This window comes from Homo sapiens, chromosome 7 (assembly GCF_000001405.40).
Source record: "Homo sapiens chromosome 7, GRCh38.p14 Primary Assembly".
In the NCBI taxonomy this organism is placed as follows: Eukaryota; Metazoa; Chordata; class Mammalia; order Primates; family Hominidae; genus Homo; species Homo sapiens.
Genome location: NC_000007.14, coordinates 76222263 through 76244110, shown reverse-complemented (window position 1 = coordinate 76244110; position 21848 = coordinate 76222263). Strand labels below are relative to the sequence as shown.

At 52.0% G+C, this 21848-nt stretch overlaps 1 protein-coding gene across 2 annotated transcripts in view, besides 5 other annotated features; it reads right to left on the bottom strand.

Annotated features, from left to right (window-relative positions):
* SRRM3 (serine/arginine repetitive matrix 3) overlaps positions 1-21848 on the bottom strand; it is an 85392-nt gene that overhangs the window by 43177 nt on the left and 20367 nt on the right. For both annotated transcript variants that reach the window (NM_001291831.2, NM_001110199.3), the window contains exon 2: positions 8812-9083. In NM_001291831.2, the coding sequence (NP_001278760.1) occupies positions 8812-9044 (233 nt within the window). In that variant the 5' untranslated portion in view covers positions 9045-9083. The remainder of the gene's footprint in view (positions 1-8811; positions 9084-21848) is intronic.
* Positions 8769-8838: a silencer, noted in NCBI's record as "silent region_18307". NCBI's record gives its function as "represses an Ori minimal core promoter by ATAC-STARR-seq in GM12878 lymphoblastoid cells {active_cell/tissue: GM12878}" and the evidence as "EXISTENCE:reporter gene assay evidence [ECO:0000049][PMID:35858748]".
* Positions 9009-9068: an enhancer, noted in NCBI's record as "active region_26193". NCBI's record gives its function as "activates an Ori minimal core promoter by ATAC-STARR-seq in GM12878 lymphoblastoid cells {active_cell/tissue: GM12878}" and the evidence as "EXISTENCE:reporter gene assay evidence [ECO:0000049][PMID:35858748]".
* Positions 18433-18633: a silencer, noted in NCBI's record as "peak6610 fragment used in MPRA reporter construct". NCBI's record gives its function as "represses an SCP1 promoter by STARR-seq MPRAs in K562 erythroleukemia cells {active_cell/tissue: K562}" and the evidence as "EXISTENCE:reporter gene assay evidence [ECO:0000049][PMID:32103011]".
* Positions 18978-19482: an enhancer, noted in NCBI's record as "NANOG hESC enhancer chr7:75853947-75854451 (GRCh37/hg19 assembly coordinates)". NCBI's record gives its function as "activates a minimal SCP1, AML or CMV promoter by ChIP-STARR-seq in primed H9 embryonic stem cells {active_cell/tissue: H9 hESC(primed)}" and the evidence as "EXISTENCE:reporter gene assay evidence [ECO:0000049][PMID:30033119]".
* Positions 20821-21321: an enhancer, noted in NCBI's record as "H3K4me1 hESC enhancer chr7:75852108-75852608 (GRCh37/hg19 assembly coordinates)". NCBI's record gives its function as "activates a minimal SCP1, AML or CMV promoter by ChIP-STARR-seq in naive H9 embryonic stem cells {active_cell/tissue: H9 hESC(naive)}" and the evidence as "EXISTENCE:reporter gene assay evidence [ECO:0000049][PMID:30033119]".

Here is a 21848-nt window from a genome sequence, read left to right as displayed (position 1 = left end):
TAACCCCCCATCCCCTCGTGGCTCAGGCCACCCTGCACTGCTGCCACCAACCTAGCTCCACCAAGTTCAGGGCCCTGGCTCCTCAGTGTCCACCTCAGTCCCTGTGTGGCCCTCAGACTCGGGCATTCACCTGGAGGTCCCTTGTCTGGGCATGTGAGTTGGGCAGTGCAGAGCCTGGCACCCAGGAAGAAAGGGTGGTGCCCCACCCCCCCAGCAGAGGCAGAGAGCAATTGCTCCCACATCACCTTCTCTTGCAGAGACTAGCTTGTCACTGTCACCAGCACAGAGACAAACACAGCACAGGCCCTCCAACACTGCTTAGCCCCTAATTTATAGGCCCCACAGAGGGAGACAGAGACTGGCATGGGACCCTGGGCCAGGTGGGTGGGAAGAGATGGCCTAAGGGTGAGGGTGGGCCATTCCCCAGCTGCTTGTGGGGGGCTGGCAGGGGGTTTCAGGCCAGGATCCAAGCCCCCTTTCCTGGGGGTCTTTGGCACATGGAAGGCTGGGAAATGGGCACAAATGGGTTTCAGGGAGACCTGCAGCGGCATATATGCAGGGCTGGGGGTCGTCCTGGAGTCAGTGGGCTGGAGGCAAGTTGATGAACTCCAGCACCTGTCTGTTGAGGATGGGCTGCTGGATTGAACCAACTCAGAGGCTTGGGGAGGGTCCCTCTGTGCCCCAGGGTATCTTGTTGGGAGAAGCTGGGGACACAAGGATGACACCTGGTGATTGGTCTCATGTGACCACCACCTCTGAGTGTCCTTTCCCCTCTTATCTCTTGGAATCAATCTTCTCAGCTGAGCCACTTGGGACAGTGATGACGGGGAGAGACAGAGGAGCCCAACAGTCCTGCTTTTGAATCCTGGCACCTCCCACTTCCCAGTTCTGTGGCCTTGGGCAAGTCCATGTGCTTCTCCCAGCCTTAGCTTCTAATCTGTGAAATGGGAACAGGACCCACCTTTCAAGGTTGTCATCTGGATATTAGTCCCCTCCCAATCTCATGTTGAAATGTGATCCTCAGTGTTGGAGGTGGGGTCTGGTGGGAGGTGTTTGGGTCATGGGGGTGGATCCCTCAAGAATGGCTTGGTGCCCTCCCCATGGCCATGAGTGAGTTCTCACTCTATTACAGAGGTTGCTGATACCTCAGGTTGGGGTACCACTCTGTGGCCTATTAGGAACCAGGCTGCACAGCAGGAGGTGAGGAGCAGGCAAGGGGGCAAAGCTTCACCTGTATTTATAGCTGCTCCCTATCACTCCCATTACCACCTGAGCTCCACCTCCTATCAGATCAGTGGTGGCATTAGATTCTCATAGGAGTGGGAACCCTGTTGTGAACTGCGCATGCGAGGGATGTAGGTTGCACGCTCCTTGTGAGAATCTAATGCCTGATGATCTGTCACTGTCTCCCATCACCCCAGATGGGACTGTCTAGCTGCAGGAAAACAAGCTCAGGGCTCCCACGGACTCTACATGATGGTGAGTTGTAGAATTATTTCATTACATAATACAGTCTAATAATAATAGAAATAAAGTGCACAATAAATGCAATGTGCTTGAATCATCCTGAAACCATCCCCCCACCACCCCGCCTAGTCCATGGAAAAATTTTCTTTTTTTTTTGGGAAACAGAGTTTCATTCCTGTTGCTCAGGCTGGAGTGCAAAGGTGCAATCTCGGCTCACCACAACCTCCATCTCCCCGGTTCAAGCGATTCTCCTGCCTCAGCCTCCCAAGCAGCTGGGACTACAGGCATGCGCCCCCACGCCCAGCTAATTTTTGTATTTTTACTAGAAATGGAGTTTCTCCATGTTGGTCAGGCTGGTCTCGAACTCCCGACCTCAGGTGATCCACCCACCTCAGCCTCCCAAAGTGCTGGGATTACAGGCGTGAGCCACCTCGCCCAGCCAGAAAAATTTTCTTCCACAAAACTGGTATCTGGTGCTGAAAAGGTCGGAGACTGCTGCTCTATTAGTTTAGGAAAGAGCTGATTGTTTTAAGGAGTCTGGGGTGTCTCTCCTCTCCCTCTTTCTCCCTCTGGTGCCATGTGAGACATGCTGGCTCCCCTTCTTTTCCATCATGACTAAAAGCTTCCTGAGGCCTCACCAGAAGCCAATTGGATGCCAGCGCCATGCTTCTGTACAAGCCTCTAGAACCGTGAGCCAAGTAAACTTATTTTCTTTATAAGTTACCTAGCCTCAAGTTTTCCTTTAGAGCAATGCAAAGTGGGCTAACACAGACGTGATGTATTTACATCACTTTGCACAGTGCCTGGCATATAGTAGGTGCTCAATGAATGGTAGCAACTGGCCAGACACAGTGGCTCATGCCTGTAATCCCAGCACTTTGGGAGGCCAAGGTGGGTGGATCACTTGAAGTCAGGAGTTTGACCCCAGCCTGGCAAACATGATAAAACCTTGTGTCTGCTAAAAATACAGAAATCAGCTGGGCGTGGTGGTGCGTGCCTGTAGTCCCAGCTACTCGGGAGGCCAAGGCAGGAGAATCACTTGAACCCAGGAGACAGAGGTTGCAGTGAGCTGAGATTGCGCCATTGCACTCCAGCCTGGGCAATGGAGTGAGACTCTGTCTCAAAAATAAATAAATAAGTAAATAAATAAATAGTAGCAACTGAAGCTTATCTGTCCCAGAGCAGTGGGGACAGAGTGTACAGTCATCCCAGGCTCCCTGCCCTTTTCCATCTGAGACCCCTGCCAGGTTGGCATGGCACCAGCTCCGAGAATTGCCTGGGCCTCTTCTCTGTCTGTTCTGCCAGGAGGCAAAGGCTGGGATAAAGGGGGAGGCTGCTACCCAAACCACTTGCTCCCTGTGGAGGTGGCAGAGCCGGCCAGCCTAGGGCCATGCAGGAAGGCTGGCTAGCATGGCCAAAGCTTCAAACTCAAAGTCAAGGGTTTCTAGGCCGGGCACAGTGGCTTATGCCTGCAATCTCAGTACTTTGGGAGGCCGAGGCGGGCAGATCACTTGAGGTCAGGAGTTTGAGACCAGCCTGGCCAACATGGTGAAACCCCATCTCTACTAAAAATACAAAATTAGCTGGGCATGGTGGCATACACCTGTAATCCCAGCTACTTGGCAGGCTGAGGCAGGACGAATCGCTTGAACCTGGGAGGCGGAGGTTGCAGTGAGCCAAGATGGCGCCATTGCACTCCAGCCTGGGTGACAGAGGGAGACTCTGTCTTGAAAAAAACAAAAAACCAAAAAAACAACGTCAAGGGCTTGTGTGTGGGTGGGGAAGGGGGAATAGGGGGCAGTGATGTCTGTCCCAGGGTCCCCAGCCTCTTGGCCCACGTGTTCCCCCAGCCAGTCTGGCTCCCTTAGTCCTCATGCCACTCTATGGGCCATAAGGGAAGGGCATGCCAAATGCATTGTGGCTTTGGGGATTTCCTGGGTCGCTCTCTGGGACAGGAGTAGGGTGAGGGGACACTGAATTTTAAGAGTTCCTCAGAGTGAAAAATGTTTTTTTTTTTTTTTTTTGAGATGGAGTCTCGCTCTGTTGCCCAGGCTGGAGTGCAGTGGCGCAATCTCGGCTCACTGCAAGCTCCGCCTCCCGGGTTCACGCCATTCTGCTGCCTCAGCCTCCTGAGTAGCTGGGACTACAGGCACCTGCCACCACACCCGGCTAATTTTTTGTATTATTAGTAGAGAAGGGGTTTCACCGTGTTAGCCAGGATGGCCTCGATCTCCTGACCTCGTGATCTGCTCGCCTCGGCCTCCCAAAGTGCTGGGATTACAGGCATGAGCCAATGCACCCGGCCTATTTTTAATTTTTAAAAGTAGAAATGGAGTCTTGCTATGTTACACAGGCTGGTCTCAAACTCTTGGCCTCAAGCAATTCTCTCACGTCAGCCTCCCAAAGTGCTGGGATTACAGGAGTGTGCCACTATGACCAGCTAATTATTATTATTATTATTATTGTTATTATTATTTGAGACAGAGTTTCACTCTTGTTGCCCAGGCTGGATTGCAATGGCGTGATCTCAGCTCACTACAATCTCCACCTCCTGGGTTCAAGCGATTCTCCTGCCTCAGCCTCCTGAGTAGCTGGAATTACAGGCGTCCACCACCACACCTGGCTAATTGTTTTGTATTTTTAGTAGAGATGGGGTTTCATCATGTTGGCCAGGCTGGTCTCGAACTCCTGACCTCAGGTGATCCACCTACCTTGGCCTCCCAAAGTGCTGGGATTACAGGCATGAGCCACCACGCCCAGCAATTTTTTATCTTTTGGTACAGACAGGGTCTCCCTATGTTGCCCAGGCCTCCTGGCCTTAAGAAAACCTTCTGCCTTGGCCTGCCAAAGTACTGGGATTACAGGCATGAATTCCTACATTAGGCCAGACAGTGACCTTTTGTTTTGTTTTGTTTTTGTTTTTGTTTTTGTTTTTTGTTTTTAGATGGGGTCTTGCTCTGCCACCCAGTCTGGAGTGCAGTGGTGCAATCATAGCTCGCTGCAGCCTCGACTTCTCAGGCTTAAGTAATCCTCTCACCTCAGCCTTCTGAGTAGCTGGGACCACAGGCATGTGCCACCACACCTGGCTAGTTAAAAAAATTTTTTTTTGTAGGTGGATTGGCAGGGGGCTCACTATGTTGCCATGCTGGTCTCAAACTCCTGGGCTCAAGTGCTCCCTCCTCAGCCTCCCAGAGTGCTGGGATTATAGGCATGAGCCACAGCGGCTGGAATGGTAGCCTTTTGATTCCCATTTTATAGATGAGCAAACAGAACAGGGAGAGGGGAGGGAGGGCTCAAAACTCCAAGCCTAGGCTGGGTGCGGTGGTTCACACCTGTAATCCCAGCACTTTGGGAGGCCGAGGTGGGTGGATCATCTGAGGTCAGGAGTTCGAGACCAGCCTGGCCAACATGGTGAAACCCCGTTTCTACTAAAAATACAAAGAATTAGCTGGGTGTGGTGGCGTGCTCCTATAGTCCCAGCTACTCGGAAGGCTGAGGCAGGAGAATGGCTTGAACCTGGGAGGTGGAGGTTGCAGTAAGCCGAGATCGTGCCATTTCACTCCAGCCTGGGCAACAAGAGTGAAACTCCGCCTAAGGGAAAAACAAACAAAGCTCCAAGACTAGCTAGGGATGGAGCTGTGCTCTGTCGCCTCACCCAAGTCCTTACAAGAAGAGGCATGGCGTCTGGGCATGGTGGCTCATGCCTGTAATCCCAGCATTTTGGGAGGCTAAGGCAGGTGGCTTACTTGAGGTCAGGAGTTCAAGACCAGCCTGGCCAACATGGTGAAACCCCGTCTCTACTAAAAAGTACAAAAATTAGCCAGGTGTGGTGGCATGTGCCTGTAATCCCATCTACTCAGGAGGCTGAGGCAGGAGAATCACTTGAACCCAGGAGGCAGAGGTTGCAGTGAGCAGAGAACATGCCACTGCACTCCAGCCTGGGTGACACAGCGAGAATCCATCTCAAACGAAACAAACAAACTAAAAAAGAGGCATGGCAAGAAGATAAACAGGGTGGCAGGGAGGATGCTGGGGGCTGGGGTGGGAGCATCTCGTCAGAAAGGCTGGAGGCTCCGTCCCGCCCCGCGGTGATTGCAGACTGCAAGCCAAGGCTGTCTGGGAAGGTGACTCCAAGTACGCCATCAATCACCAGTGGATTAGCCAGCCAGCCATCAATATTAAGGAAAAGGATTGCTTTTTAATGAGGCCAAAGAGTGTGTGTTCCTGTGACTGATGTGAATATTTGTCAAATGCCCGAGAACCCGGTAAATAAACGGGACTGAACCAGTGTTTCTAGAAATGGATATTAATGACTCGATTTGATAAAAGAGCAGGGGTGCCTGGTGTTTGCTGGCACTTTGTGAGGACTGGCTGGGGGCTGGGCAGTCCCATGTGTGTCTTCAACGGAGGACTCTCAGAACAGCTCCAGAACACAGGTGCCCCTATTTTCCAGGTGAGTAAACCGTGGCTTGTTCAAGGTCAAGATAGGGCTGGAAGCCTGGATTTGGGAGTCTCAGAATGCCTGTCCCTGCCATGATCAAATGCCCTGCTGAGGATGGGGAGGGCAGGGGGAGGGCCATTCAAGAGCTGGTTTTTCAGAGGTGGCTCCAGGATAAGGACCACCTCAAGTGAGAGCTTGGGTGGGGGAAGGGACCCTGACTGAGCAAGTGGGGACATAGTGGGTGCTTCCCAGGGAAGCAAGGATCCTTGATGCTGGGGGTCTTACACCCAGGACGTGGCCAAATGCCATCACCTTTTGCTTGGGGAGGGGCTCAGTGAGGGAAGGTTCCTTGAAAGGGTGAAGGTCTTTGAGGGGGAGGGCTTTCAGGATGGGAAAGTACAGAGAAGAGGAGGGGACTTAGTGAAGGGAGAGGGGCTGAGGATGGGGATGGGTTCATCAAGGAGGTGGAGTTCTGGGAGGAGGAGGAGCAGGAAAGTGCAGGGAACACCTTGTCTGTCCCTGTCAACCCTCTTGTCCTCTGCCCACACTCCCCTCCCTCCTTGACTCTCCAGACAGAATTTCGCAGAATTTGCAGGTTTTGTTTGTGTGTTTGTTTTTGTTTTGTTTTGAGATGGAGTCTCCCTCCGTTGCTCAGGCTGAAGTGCAGTGGCGCAATCTTGGCTCACTGCAACCTCTGCTTCGCGGGTTCAAGCGATTCTCCTGCTTCAGCCTCCCGAGTAGCTGGGACTACAGGCGCTCGTCACCATGCCTGGCTAATTTATTTTTATTTTTATTTTGAGACGGAGTCTTGCTCTGTCACCCAGGCTGGAGTGCAGTGGCACAATCTCAGCTCAGTGCAACCTCCGCCTCCGGGTTCAAGCGATTCTCCTGCCTCAGCCTCCTGAGCAGCTGGGACTAGAGGTGCATGCCACCATGCCCGGCTAATTTTTTGTATTTTTAGTAGCGATGGGGTTTCACTGTGTTTGCCAGGATGATCTCGATCTCCTGACCTCACGATCTGCCCGCCTTGTCCTCCCATAGTGCTGTGATTGCAGGCGTGAGCCACCGCACCTGGCCTTTTAAATTTTTTTGTATTACTAGTAGAGATGGGGTTTCACCATGTTGGCAAGGCTGGTCTCGATCTCCTGACCTCAAGCGATCTGCCCACTTCGGCCTCCCAAAGTGCCGGGAGCCACGTGAGCTGGTACAGCCGTGAGCCACCGAATCTGGCTGGATTTGCCGGTTTAATTCACGACCTGAGGTTCTCACTGTAGGAGATGCTCCCCACCTCGCCCCTCCTTGCCCCTGCCCCTTGAGATCTCATTCCCTCTTCCGGTACCCACAGCTCATCAACATGTTCCCTTGCCAGCTGGAACCTCCTTTGTGTGTGTCCTCAGCATCCTGCCATCCATCCATCCATCCCTCTCTGCAAGGGGCCTCCTCCCCGCTACCTGGTCCTCTGGGTGAGGTGAGCATCAGGTCCCCATTACCCCTTCTTCTCCCTACAAGCAGCCTTGCCTGGCAGCCAGCAGGGCTCTTGATCCTGGCTCCGCCTTGGCCCCCCGCCTTCCGGATGGCCTTCAGCAACTCGCTGTCTCTGCCTAAGCCTGGGGGTCTTCCTAAGCTCCTCAGAGATGGTGGCCCCTGTCTAAGGGAGCCCAGGAGGCCTGGGGTGGACAAAGGTGTGGCTTGGAAGGACTGAAGGACACAGGCTGTGTCTGGCCCCATGTGGCTCCAGGCTCCAGCTCCCCGCCCCCCCACCCCGTGTAGGGAATTTCCGATTTCTCAGCTCACTGACAGTGCAAGTCTGATGGGCAGTCCCTGCTCCTGACTTTGACCCCTTCAGCAGCCAGCCCACTAGTTTCTTTCTTTCTTTTCTTTTTTTTTTTTTTTGAGACGGAGTTTTGCTCTTGTTGCCCAGGCTGGAGTGCAATGTCTCGATCTCAGCTCACTGCAACCTCCACCTCCCGGTTCAAGCGATTCTCCTGCTTCAGTCTCCCAAGTAGCTGGGATTACAGGCATGTGCCACTACGCCAGGCTAATTTTGTATTTTCAGTAAAGACGGGGTTTCTCCATGTTGGTCAGGCTGGTCTCGAATTCCCAACCTTGTGATCCACCCGCCTCGGCCTCCCAAAGTGCTGAGATTACAGGCGTGAGCCACCGCGCCCGGCCTTTTTTTTTTTTTTTTTTTTTTTTTGAGACAGAATCTCGATCTGTTGCCCAGGCTGGAGTGCAGTGGCCGGATCTCGGCTCACTGCAACCTCCGCCTCCTGGGTTCAAGAAATTCTCCTGCCTCAGCTTCCCGAGTAGCTGGGATTACAGGCACGCGTCACCACGCCTGGCTAATTTTTGTATTTTTAGTAGAGACGGATTTTCACCATGTTGGCCAGGCTGATCTCAAACTCCTGACCTCAGGTGATCCACCTGCCTAGGCCCCCCAAAGTTCTGGGATTACAGGTGTAAGACACCGCGCCCAGCTAAATTTTTTTTTGTATTTTTCATAGAGACGGGGTTTCACCATGTTAGGCAGGCTGATCTCGAATTCCTGACCTCAAATAATCCGCTCGCCTCGGCCTTTCAAAGTGCTGGAATCACAGGTGTGAGCCATCACTTTGCCATTAAAGGTAATGGCAAAAACCGTGATTACTTTTGCAACAACCTAATACATAAATGAAAGATGAGCTGGACTTGCCATGGCTTCACCCCAACTGGTCTGAACTCTGGCTTCTTGTCTGGACAAGGCTCTTGGGTTCCCACAGTCGCCCGACTCCGCCCTAATAGCCCCTAGCCCCGCCCTTCTCCCCGCCCACGACGTTCGCCACGCCCACGTGCAGCATCACTCGCTTCTCCCACCCTCGCCCCGCCTATCTCCCCACCCCAGTCCCGCCCCGCGGCCTGCTCACCCCTGCTCCTCCATCATCTCCTGCAGCTCCATGCACTTGAGCTCCACCCGCCGCTTGCGCTCGTGGTCCAGGATCTCGCGGTGCGCGCGCTTCACCAGGCCCGGCTCCGCGGCGCGCAGCTCCTCTTCCGCCCGCGGCCAGGTCCCCGAGGAGGAGCTGGGCTGCGGGAAGCCGTTCGCGGCGTCGGGTGTGGACTGCATGCTGGCCGCCCCGTTGTTCACGGTGGAGGACATCGTGGCTGGCCCTGGAGCCGCTGGCCTGGGCCGCTGGCCCTGAGGGACAGACACAGACACGAGGCGGGATGGTCACTTCTTCGCCACCTGTTAAGCTCCTCTCTGCTGGAGTTAATCCTGGAGATTTAAGGGCACACTCATGGCTCTAATCCGCTTCCTTTCCTGGTGCAGAGGGAAGCGGACGGCTGGTTTGCACCTTTGGGTCACACCTCAGGGCACGAGTGGGTTGGACACTGGGCTTTTTCCATCTGTAAGGTGGGTGGATGCAGGCCAGACTGGATGGCCTCTAAGAGCCATTGGCTGGGAATCGTGTCACCTCCAGGAACTACCGAGGACCATCCTCTCTGGCTTGCACGAATGCTTGGGCCAGACATCCCAGCGCCCGCTTGCACACATCATTAACTCCCCAGTCATATTTCTCCTTTAGGCTCAGTTGAAACTGTTTACGCACACACCAGGCCCACTATCCTGGCTCTGTCCAGTGGCACACAGATTACATGTGTTCCTACCTCCCAGTCTGCTCCCAGGGCAGCCCTACAGAGAGGGGAAGATGGAAGCCTACTCTATTCCCACCCCAGAGGCAGATTTTAGCTCTCTGTTTGATCTGGCCAACTTCTCCAAAGCCAACATTCCAGATAAGCGGGGCTCACCCAGATTGGGCCCACAAGACTATCCCCTCCTTTGTTCTGGAAACACTGCTTCTGATGACGTGACCAAAGCTGACACTGACATTAGCTTTCCAGGCAGCCACGTCCTCCTGTAGGCTCGGGGTGGGGTGGGAGTCAACTTGGCTTGGAGCTAAGAATCCCTGACTCCATGCTAGGCCCTCCAAAGTAGAGCAGACACACACACACACACACACACACACACACTCCAAGGACTTCTATCTTAACAGAGGGGAGGCACCTCTTGAGCTATTTCCATTTCCTTTCTCCAAGGATCTGCTAGTTGCTAAGCAACAGGGAGGCCTCATTCCCAGGGAGTGGGGTGGGAGGGAGGGAAAGGAAGGAGGGAGGGAGGAAAAGAAGGGATTGGGTATGCCTGGACATCTTGGATCGGGCCTTCCCTGTGACACTTCTCCCCCAACACACCCTCCCCTCTCTGGCCTCAGAGTGATGGGATGGGGGTGGGAGTGTTCAGAGCCACAGAAACTGGAAGGCAGAGAAGAGAGAGGGACTGTGACAGCTACAGGAGGCTCTGAAGGGGACAGAGTGACAGGAGGCAACAGCGGTGATGAAAACATAAGCTCTTCTCATATGTCCTTCCCCCTGAGTCCCAAGTGCATGGGTTCTAGGCTGCGCTTCTCCACTCCTTGCTGTGTGACCCTGAAGATGTCACTACCCCTCTCTGAGCCTCTGATTTCCACCTGTTCCTGGGAGCATCTGCCAGAGTCTTCTGGAGAGGGGAGTGCCTGGGGACTCAGAGACCAAAGCTGTTCTTCTAACCCCTCTTTTCCACTCCCACACCTGCTGGCTTCCCGCCTCTGTCCCGAGACCAGCCCTATACCCCAGTTCCACCAGGGGTTTTCCCAGGACACTCCACAAGAATCACCCACCATGCCCCAAACAGAGCTCCGGGTGCCCTGCTCCCCACCCACCTCGGCTGCAGTGCTTGGCTCATGGGTGACCCCTCTATCTGTTGGTCATCTGAGCCAGGGACATGTGTGGAGCTTGGAGACCCCTATTGACCTGACCCACAACAGTTCACCTGTCATCAAGTTGGGTCCCTCATCCCTTCTTCTTTGTTCATTTTTTGAGACAGGGTCTCACTCTATCACCCAGGCTGGAGTGCAGTGGCACAGTCATAGCTCACTGCAGCCTTGAACTCCTGAGCTCAAGCGATATCCTCCCACCTCAGTCTCCCCAGTAGCTGGAACTACAGGCATGTGCCACCATACCCAGCTAATTAAAACAAAGAATTTTTTTTTGTAGAGTCACGTTCTTGTTATTTTGCCCAGGGTGGTCTTGAATTCCTGGCTTCAAACAATCCTTCCACTTTGGCCTCCCAAAGTACTGAGATTACAGGCGTGAGCCACCGCGCCCAGCCCCATCCCTTCTTCTCAACATCGCTCACATTTATCCACTTCCTCTCCTCCCCTGTTACCACGTGGACCCAAGCTCCTCCCTCCATGCAGGTCCACTGCCTCTCTGTGGTTGCCTGGCCTCCCTGCTCCCAGACCTTCATCCTCCATTGGCAACTTGGCAGACGGGTCCAGGAGCAAATTAGACCATGTCATGCCCTGGTTAGCAGCCTCCCGTGACTCTTGTTACCTTGGCTTAAAGCCGTAACATGGCCCTGCCTCCTGGTCCAGCCCCGTCTCCACCACTCCGCACCACACACATCCTCCTCTACCTCTCTTGGCTCCAGGCCCTTTCCTGGGATACTCTTCATTCCTAGTTGTCCTCAAAGTCACCGCTCATAGGCATTATCACCTTCCGGAAGCCTTCCTTTCCCCTCTGGCTGGTGTCACCCTCCCAGAGCTCTTTTTTTTTTTGGAGAAGGAGTCTCACTCTGTCACCCAGGCTGGAGTGCAGTGGTGCAATCTTGACTCACTGCAACCTCCACCTCCTGGGTTCAAGTGATTCTCCCGCCTCAGCCTCCTGAGTAGCTGGGATTACAGGCGCCTGCCACCTTGCCCGGCTAATTTTTGTATTTTTAGTAGAAATGGGGTTTCACCATGTTGCCCAGGCTGGTCTTGAACTCTGACCTCAAGTGATCTGCCCTCCTCGTGGCCAGGCTGGTCTTGAACTCCTGACCTCAGGCGATCTGCCCTCCCAAAGTGCTGGGATTACAGGCATGAGCCACCACTCCTGGCCTTACCTCCCAGAGTTCTCGCTGTTGTTGCTGTGGGTTCAAAGGTCTGGCTCCCCCTGGGCTGAGGGCAGCTTAGCTTTCAACTCCTAGCTCCAGCTAAGCGCCTAGTGCATGTGAAGCTCAATGCGCCCGGGGCTGAACAAAGACGTGACAACAGGAGGCAAGAGAGAGGAATACATGGCATGGTCCTTGATACGGCCTGCAAGACCCCTTTGCATTCTGTCGAATGCTATCTTGCAACTTCATCCCATGCTGCACCCCATCCTGCAACCAACACCCAGCCTCTTAGCCTTGGTCCTCATCCCCCAAATGCATGCCCTTACTTCCTCCTTTGTGCCTTTGCCTATGTGTTTCCCCTCCGCTGGAGTCCTGTTTCCCCTTTTCTTCACCTAGGGAACTTCAACTCATCCCTCAGGGCCCAGCCCAAAAATCACCTCCTCTGGGAATCTTCCGCTCTTCCAGGAAGGATGAGTCATTCCTTCTTTGTGCTTCCGCATCTTTTGTCCACACTTTTTAAATGCGATATTTAGATACCGAGATTCAGTTGGCTGTTTGCTTGTAACTCCTATTCTAAACTGTGAGCCCTTTTAGGGGAGGGAACCGTCCTTTCATTCTGGCTCGTTAGAGCCTACCCCAGCACCAGGCAATGCAAGAGGCGCGCTGAAGGTGTGGAGAGAGCGCGAAGGCGCGGGTGAGAGCCCTGGGAGCCATGCTGTTCCGCACATCTTCCCTCTGACCTGGGCAAGGCTCCCCAGCCTAGAACTTGGCCTGAGCTCCTGGAGGGCAGAGGCGGAAAGCTGGTGAGAGTCGTTCTGAATGCACTCAGATCTCCAAACCCTGAGAAAATCTAGCCCCAGTGCTAGGAGAACGCCTGGGTAGCAATGCTAGGTTGCCCAGGGTAATCGTTGCAGAAATGATTGAGGAGGAAAGGAGAGCTATGTGAAGAGGGGCGTGGCAGATGCAGTCTGGATTTTCACTAGAACAGATGGTGGATTTGACCAATTTCACCTGGTGAGTTGGAGAGGCACCAGGTGGGAATCTGCAGCAGGTCATTAATAGAATGACCCAAATCATTGCACACTAAGCCCATTTCCTTCCAAGTCAGGTTTGCTGGGCCAGCAGACCAGGGGGTGACTGCAGGACTGCACGCACAGGGTCCCTCTGTGAGCCATGTGACATTATATTTTATGAAATCATTGTGAGGCTGGGCGCAGTGGCTCACACCTGTAATCCCAGCACTTTGGGAAGCTGAGGTGAGTGGATCACCTGAGGTCAGGAGTTCAAGACCAGCCTGGGCAACATGGTGAAACCCCGTCTCTACTAAAAATACAAAAATTAGCCAGGCATGATGGTGGGCGCCTGTAATCCCAGCTACTCAGCAGGCTGAGGCACGAGAATCGCTTGAACCTGGGAGGCAGAGGTTGCAGTGAGCTGAGATTGTGCCATTGTATTTCAGCCTGGGCGACAGAGTGAGACTCTGTCTTGAAAAAAAAAAAAAAAGTAAGTAAAAGAAATTATTGTGAGATTTATTCTTCCTTCCTTCCTTCCTTCCCTTCCTTACCTTACCTTTCTCCCTTCCCTTCTGTTCCCTTCCCTTCCCTTCCCTTCCTGACTCTCAATCTGTTGCCCAGGCTGGAGTGCAGTGGCGTGACTATAGCTCACTGCAGCCTTGACCTCCTGGGCTTCAGTGATCTTCCTGATTCAGCCTCCAAGTAGATGAAACTACAGGTGCACCACCATGCCCAGACGATTTTTAATTTTTTTTTGTAGAGATGGGATCTTGCTATGTTGCCCAGGCTGCTCTCAAGCTCCTGGGCTCAAGTGATCTTCCTGCTTCGGCCTCCCAAAGTGTTGGGATTACGGGCATGAGTCACTGCGCCTGGCCTCACTGTGAGATTTCATAAGGTGACACTGTCCTGGTGGGTGCTAATATCCCATTTTGTTGTAATTGGTTGATTGATTGACCTATACTCAAAAGGAGCTGGTTAATGGATCAATGTCATGTTAGATGTAGGTATTTAGTGGAGAATCACAGGGCTCTATTCTCACCACATCTGATCCAATATGTTCACTATTGACTGGATAGAACACTGGTAGTCTGACAATCAAATTCACTGAGGACACAGCCTGAGAGGGCTCATGGATATACAGTCAGAATCTAAAAGGACTCAGTAGCCGGAGACATTGGAAGAATCTAAGAAGGTGAAACAGGGCCAGGTGCAGTGGCTCACATCTGTAATCCCAGCACTTTGGGAGGCTGAGGTGGGCAGATCATGAGGTCAGGAGTTCGAGACCAGCCTGGCCAACATGGTGAAACCCCGTCTCTACTAAAAGTACAAAAATTAGCCAGTCATGGTGGTGCATGCCTGCAATCTAAGCTATTCGGGAGGCTGAGGCAGAAGAATCACTTGAACCTGGGAGGCAGAGATTGCAGTGAGCCGAGATCGCACCACTGCACTCCAGCCTGGGCAATTGAGCGAGACTCCGTCTCAAAAAAAAAAAAAAAAAAAAGAAGAAGAAGAAGAAAGTGAAACAGGATAGTGAAAAGTGCCACATTCTGAAGCTGGGTCCCAAACTAAAATTGGAATGGGGTAGACATAGTTCAGAAGCAGAATATTTGGGAAGGATTATAGGGATTTTCAATGATCACAGACTCAATTTGAGTCAATATCACAATGTGGATGCCAAAAATGCATGTTATCTTAGGATATATCAACAAAAATAGGGTGCCAAGGAGGGGGAAGATTATAAGAATATACAGGTGGTCAGAATGCCTAGCTTCAAATATATGAAGGATTGTAGAGGATTTAGGTCAAACCTGGCTGAATCGACTGAGAGGCTTGTTAGAAGTAGTGATGTTTAGCTAGCATTGCCAGATTTGCCAAATAGGAACACAGGATACCCAGTTAAATTAAATTTGAATTTTATATTTGGAACATAATCCTACTAAGAAATTATCCGTTGTTTATCTGAAATTCAAATTTAACTGAGTGTCCTATATTTCATATGTCAGTTCTACCTGGAATCCAACCCAGATCTACTGAATCAAAGTCTCGGCTGGGCGCGGTGGCTCATGCCTGTAATCTCAGCATTTTGGGAGGACAAGGCAGGTGGATCACGAGGTCAGGAGATCGAGACCATCCTGGCTAACATGGTGAAACCCTGTCTCTACTAAATATACAAAAAATTAGCCGGGTGTAGTGGCAGGTGCCTGTCGTCCCAGCTACTCCGGAGGCTGAGGCAGGAGAATGGCGTGAACCCAGGGGGCAGAGCTTGCAGTGAGCAGAGATCATGCCACTGCACTCCAGCCTGGGTGACAGAGTGAGACTCTGTCTCAAAAAAAAAAAAAAAGTCTCTGGGGATGAAATTGCTCACGTCCCCCAGGTTCTCCTGATATAGCCCAAGTATGGACCACAAATTAGGGGGAGGTGGGCAGTGGTCTAGAAATAGCCATTTTCAAATTTTATTGGGCATCAGAATCACCAGGAAGACTTGTTAAGACACAGATTTGTTTTGTTTTGTTTTGTTTGAGACGGCGTCTCGCACTGTTGCCTGGGCTGGAGTGCAATGGTGCGATCTCAGCTCACTGCAACCTCCGCCTCTCAGGTTCACATGATTCTCCTTTCTTAGCCTCCTGAGTAGCTGGGATTACAGGTGCACACCACTACACCCGGCTAACTTTTTGTATTTTTAGTAGAGACAGGGTTTCACTATGTTGGCCAGACTGGTCTTGAACTTCTGACCTCATGATCCACCCGCCTCGGCCTCCCAAAGTGCTGGAATTACAGGCTTGAGCCACCGCGCCCAGCAAGACACAGATTGTTGACTTCGCCCCCAGAGTTTCTGATTTGATAGATCTGGAGTGGGGCTTGAGAATTTGCATTTCTAACAAGTAACACCAATACTACTGGTCCTTAGAATTCCCTAAGAGGAGCAAGGCCCTAGCCAATCTGCAAAACAGAGCCCCAAGATTCTCACAGGCAAGTCATCTAGTGTTGATTTCAGCTCAGTTCAAAAAAGAGTCTTGTCTTGTTTTGTTTTTATTTTATAATAATCAAAACTCTTTAAAAATGAAGCAGTTCTGCCCAGGTGTGGTGGCTTGCACCTGTAATCCCAGCACTTTGGGAGGCAGAGGCGGGTGGATCACTTGAGGTCAGGAATTCGAGACCAGCCTAGCCAATATAGTCAGACACTGTCTCTACTAAAAATACAAAAATTAGCTGAATGTGGTGGTGCGTGCCTATAATCCCAGCTACTTGGGAAGATGAGGCATGAGAATAGCTTGAACCCAGGAGGTGGAGGTTGCAGTGACCTGAGTTTGCGCCACTGCACTTCAGCCTGGGTGACAGAGTGAGATTTCGTCTCAAAAAACAAACAGAAAAACAAAAAACAAAACTAAGCAGTTTGTCGTAGGATGAATGAGGTCCCTATTACAGGAATTGTTCAAACATGAGATAGAAACGATATTCAAGCATTCACTCAACAAACACTCACCCAACATCTACTCTTGGCCTCACGTTATTAAAGGCTGTGGGTATAGAGATGAACATGACCCCATCATGGCCCTGTAGAAGCTCACAGGCTGGTTCAGGAGACTGACAGGTAAACAGCAGCATAGTGTGATAAAAGAGAACTGGAGAAGTGTCTGTAGCCCTGCTTGGTTCGTCAAGGCAGGCTTCCCAGCAAGGCTGGGAGGGAGCAGGAGGCAGGGCTGCCAGAGCCAGTGAGGACAACCAGGATTCAAGAAATAAATGGGCCAATCTGGCAGGGTTTGTAATTGACTGGATGTGGGATGGGGGAGGCAGCTTAGATGACACCGGGTCTCTGGCCTGGGTGACCAGGTGGATGGTGCAGCCATTTATTGTGATGGGGAACACGGAGAACAAATTGGAGGTGCTTGAGGGTGAGGGGTTTGCAGGGGCAAGCAGGCAGATATGGAGTCTAGAGCTATAATCTGAACCCTAACTCTAACTTGTTCTGGTCTTTGGGGGCATTGACACTGTACTTCTTTGGAGGCAGAGCAGCACATGGGAAGTCTTTACCCTACCACTGATTGGCTGAGAGCAGCACATGGGAAGTCTTTACCCTACCACTGATTGGCTGAGAGCAGCACATGGGAAGTCTTTACCCTACCACTGATTGGCTGAGAGCAGCACATGGGAAGTCTTTACCCTACCACTGATTGGCTGAGAGCAGCACATGGGAAGTCTTTACCCTACCACTGATTGGCTGTGAGACCATGAACAAGTCCCTTCCCCTCTCTGCACCCTTGTTTCTCCCACTGAACAATGACTCAAAGACCCCAAGGGTCCTTTCCTACTCTGGAAGTCTGGGTAATACTAACTCTAAGTGTGTGGCACCAGGCTGGGTGTGGTGGCTTATGCCTGTAATCTCAGCACTTTGGGAGGCCGAAGCAGGTGGATCACCTGAGGCCAGGAGTTTGAGACCAGCTTGACCAACATGGTGAAATCCTGTCTCTACTAAAAATACAAAAATGAGCTGGGTGTGGTGGCACATGCCTGTAATCCCAGCTACTTGGGAGGCTGAGGCAGAAGAATTGCTTGAACTCAGGAGGCGGAGGTTGCAGTGAGCTGAGATCACACCGTTGTACTCCAGCCTGAGGAACAAGAGCAAAACTCCATCTCAAAAAATAAAATAAATAAATAAATAAATAAATAAATAAATAACACCAGACCTTCAGCCCACTTCCTTTCTGCTGATACAGCCAGGAGCCGGGGCCCCACCGGCCACCCTTAGAGTTCAACTGAGGCTGTCCCCAGCACTGGGTCAGCTCCCAAGGGCAAGCCCAGATGCTGGAGCCAGCCAAACCCATGTGTAGATTAAGTCATGAAGCCCTAGTTTAATGCTTGCCAAAGGGGCACACTCCTTCTTCTACAAGCCAGGAAGTGGTTAAAAGCCTAGAGGCCTGATTTCCCAGCCTCCTGGCTGGGTCCCTGGAGTTGCCTCCCTCCCACAAGCCCAAGCCTGGGTTTCCTGAGCAAGCCTGGGTGTGGACACAGTGGGCCACAAACTGGATGCTGCTACCTGCAAGTGATTAATTGAAGGTGAAACAGCTCATCTGTACTGCAGGGTCCAGCCTGTTTCGGAAAGTCAGCTGCTGACAGGCACAGAGGCCTCTTAGCTAATGAGGTCAGCACTCACCCTGGGGCTCAGAGGGAGAAGATGCTCAGATCGTAGTGACCTGGTCAGGTCTGGGGGAGAGGGAATGGGCTGTAGTGAGAAGTGGACCACAGATGAGTCTGGGAAGAGGCCCAGCCCTGCCCTGGGGACCCCTGATTTGAGAGGGAGACAGGAGAGTGATCTTTGGGAATTCATAAGCTGAGAGACCTAGGGCACGTGACTTCAACTCTCTGGGTCTCAGTTTCCTTGCCTGTAAAATGAAACTATTTAATAATAGCATCTTCCTCATAGGTTTGTTGTAAAGGACTAATGCATGGGAAATGCCCTCACAGTACCTAGTATGCAATGAATGTCTCGTAAAAGGCACTGGAGATTAATTATTATTATTATTATTGTAGAGACAGGGTCTCACGTTGTTGCCCAGGCTGGTCTCAAACTCTTGGCCTCAAGTGATCCCCCGCCTTGGCTTCCCAGAGCACTGGGATTACAGGAGTGAGCAAACTCCTCCCTGCTCCCCTTGTCTCTGGCAGCGTCGCAGTCCTCCAGCACCACGGACAGCACCCCCATCACCAGTTCAGGGGGCCCCATTTGCTGCCGGGGCTGAGAAGCCTCTTTTGCCGGGGAAAGGGGCGGGGGGGGCGGGGAGGGGGGCAGCACCGTTCCTCTAGGGGCTTTTTTTTCCTGGCCTTGCCAGCCAGAGGCATGCCTCCCCAGAGGTAATGTCAGGACTCAGAGCCTCCACACGCTCAAAGGTACAGATTCCCACAGCTTCAAGTAAGCACTTGAGCACTTCGTCTGTGGTCACACAATTTAACCACCTTCTTACTTCTAAGATCTTTCTGCTGTCTTCTACTGGGGCCAGGAAAAAGAGTGTTAGACCAGGACAAGGACTTGGAGTCAGAAGACTTTAGCTTAAATTCTGGCTCCACTACTTCTGCCTGGGTGATCAGGAAAAGTCATTAAACTTCTCCGAGCCTCAGTTTCCTCATCTGTAAAATGGAGTGTTGGGATTCGGTCAGGCTGGTGGAAAAAATATTAGTTATGATAGCCACAAAACCCTTTCGGAAGGCCTGAGGGTTTTCACATGACTTCGGTAATAGACCGGGGCGAAGGTGGGCTGGTCCCATTACCTTCAGTTAAATAGATTAGAGTAGTAAATAACGGGATGTGGGGAAGTTATCTAGTTAACTTGTTTACTCATGTGGTCTCAAGACGAGCCTTTGATGTGTGCTTTTTACTCGGGAAGTCCTCAATGTCAATTACCTCTAATGGCGCTGACTCAAGCTTTTGTTAACTAATCTTAATGAATAAATGTGAGTCTCCCTAGCTGATCGGGGCGGCCACAGTGACAAACCTCTCTTGGTGTGTAGGCGGTCACTCAGCAGGACTGGCAAAACAGAATCTCTGTGTATCAGTGTACGTTTTATTCATCATTTGGGTCAGGGTCTGTGGGCAGACCCTCGTAGCTAATACCCTCTTGTGAGGAGCAATACCTCGACGGAGACAATATTCCCTAGTCTTGTAGCTTGTAGCTTAGTGGGATCATTCATTCATCCTTTCTTGCGGTAACAGGCTTGTTATGAAGAGATTCTGATGCCATTCTCCCACCCACCCACCCAGTCCTGCAGGAGCAAAAAAGAGACCAGGGAGGCTCTACCTTTGCCTAGGATGGTCAGGGAAGGTTTCATGAAGAGAATGATGTTAGACATGTGCCTTTGAAAGATGTGTCTTTGGCCGGGCGCGGTGGCTCATGCCTGTAATCCTAGCATTTTGGGAGGCCAAGGTGGGCAGATTGCCTGAGCTCAGGAGTTTGAGACCAGCCTGGGCAACATGGTGAAACCCGGTCTCTACTAAAATACAAAAAATTAGCCAGGACTGGCAGTGTGCGCCTGTACTCCCAGCTACTCAGGAGGCTGTGGCAGGGGAATCGCTTGAACCCAGGAGCGGAGCTTGCAGTGAGCTGTGATCGTGTCACTGCACTCCATCCTGGGGGACAGACCAAGACTCTGTCTCAAAAAAAAAAAAAAAAAAAAAGAGGGAAGGGAAGAGAAGGGAGAGGGAGAGAGGGGAAGTGGGGGCAGGGGAGAGGGGAAGTGGGGGCAGGGGAGGGGGAATTGGGGGGAGGGGAGGGGATGCTCTGTCAAAAAAAAAAGAGGGAAGGGAAGAGAAGGGAGAGGGGGAGGGGGGCAAGTTGGGGGAGGGGAGGGAAGGGGTGGGGAGGGAAGGGAAGGGAAGGGAAGGGAAGGGAAGGGAAGGGAAGGGAAGGGAAGGGAAGGGAAGGGAAGGGAAGGCAAAAGCCAAGGGCATGTTAAGATCCAGGGACCCTTGGCTAAGAGGGCTACAGTGGAATGGAATTTATGATCCAGGAAACTGCATTCCTGTGAAGGTGGTGGCTGCAAACGCAGGATGAGACCTTCCAGAGAAAAAGCCCAGTGTGGTGACAGCAGGTGGGCAAGGATGTGCCTCCTGAGGAAAAAGATTCTTTCCAACTGTCAGAAACGAGACAGAACTGATAAATACCCATGAAACCAGGTCCTTAAGTTGTGAAACTCATTCTGGGTCTTGTTAAAAATAAGTGTGTGCAACAATCGTTTGTCAAGATACTTTATCAAGCTGGAAAAGAAAAGCCATCTGCATCATGTCCAAGGAATCTAGGTGTGTCCCCACTCCAAATCCTGGCATTGAAGCCAGGTGCAGCCATGACAGGGACATATTCCCTGGAGCACTCTCCTGCTGACCCTTCCCTTCCCTGTGTAAGGACCCTTCTGCAGACCTCCAGCCTTGAACACTTTATATTGAAAGCTTCCCCTGTGCTCACTGCCCAAGAGCGTGGGGCTGGGGGGGTAAGGACCAGAGGACCAAGAGACACCCCATCAACTTCAGGGTTGGGTCATTCATTCAGGTCACAGCTATTTGTGAGTGGCTACTCTGGGGTTCACCAGAGGACACGAGAGAAATGCAGAAGGAGAAGCACTGGTGCTTATCATGCTGGGGATGATGGATGCATGGCAGAGACATCTAACAGCTGGGGTGCGTCAGGAGAGGAGCATAGCTAGGAGGTCTCCCTGGAGGAGAGATCTTGAAGCATAAGTAGGAGTTGGCGGGACAAAGGAGGAGGAGAAGGATGTCCTGGTCAGGGTGTGGGGGTGAGCAGGAAGAAGGCATGGAGAGGAAAGAGGGAAAAGCATGGACTTGAAGCTGGGCGCGGTGGCTCAATCCTGTAATTCCAGCACTTTGGGAGGCTGAGCCAGGAGAATCATTGGAGGTCAGGAGTTCGAGACCAGCCTGGTCAGCCTGGCCTGTCTCCACTAAAAATACAAAAATTAGCCAGGCATGGTGGCGGGTGCCTGTAATCCCAGCTACTTGGGAGGCTGAGGCAGGAGGATTGCTTGAACCCAGGAGGCAGAGGTTTCAGTGAGTCAAGATCACGCCACTGCACTCCAGCCTGAGAGACAGAGGGAGACTCCATCTCAAAAAATTAAAAAAATTAAAAAAACAAAACAAAACATGGGCTTGTCTTGCTGAGCCCACTAAGCCAGGAGGGGAGGGAGGGCCAGGTCCCCAGGGCCTTCAGACTCAGGCTGAGGACCTAGGACCACACCCTGCAGGCAATAGGGAGCCAGTGAAGGGTATTGAGCTGGGGAGGTCAGATTTGCATTTTGGAAAGATCTCTCTTGCAACTTTTTTTTTTTTTTTTTTTTGAGACGGGGTCTCCTATCACCCAGGCTGGAGTGTAGTGGTACAATTATGGCTCACTGCAGCCTCTACCTCTTGGGCTCAAGTGATCCTCCCACCTCAGCCTCCCAAGTAGCTGGCCACTACTACACACAGGTGCATACAACCATGTCC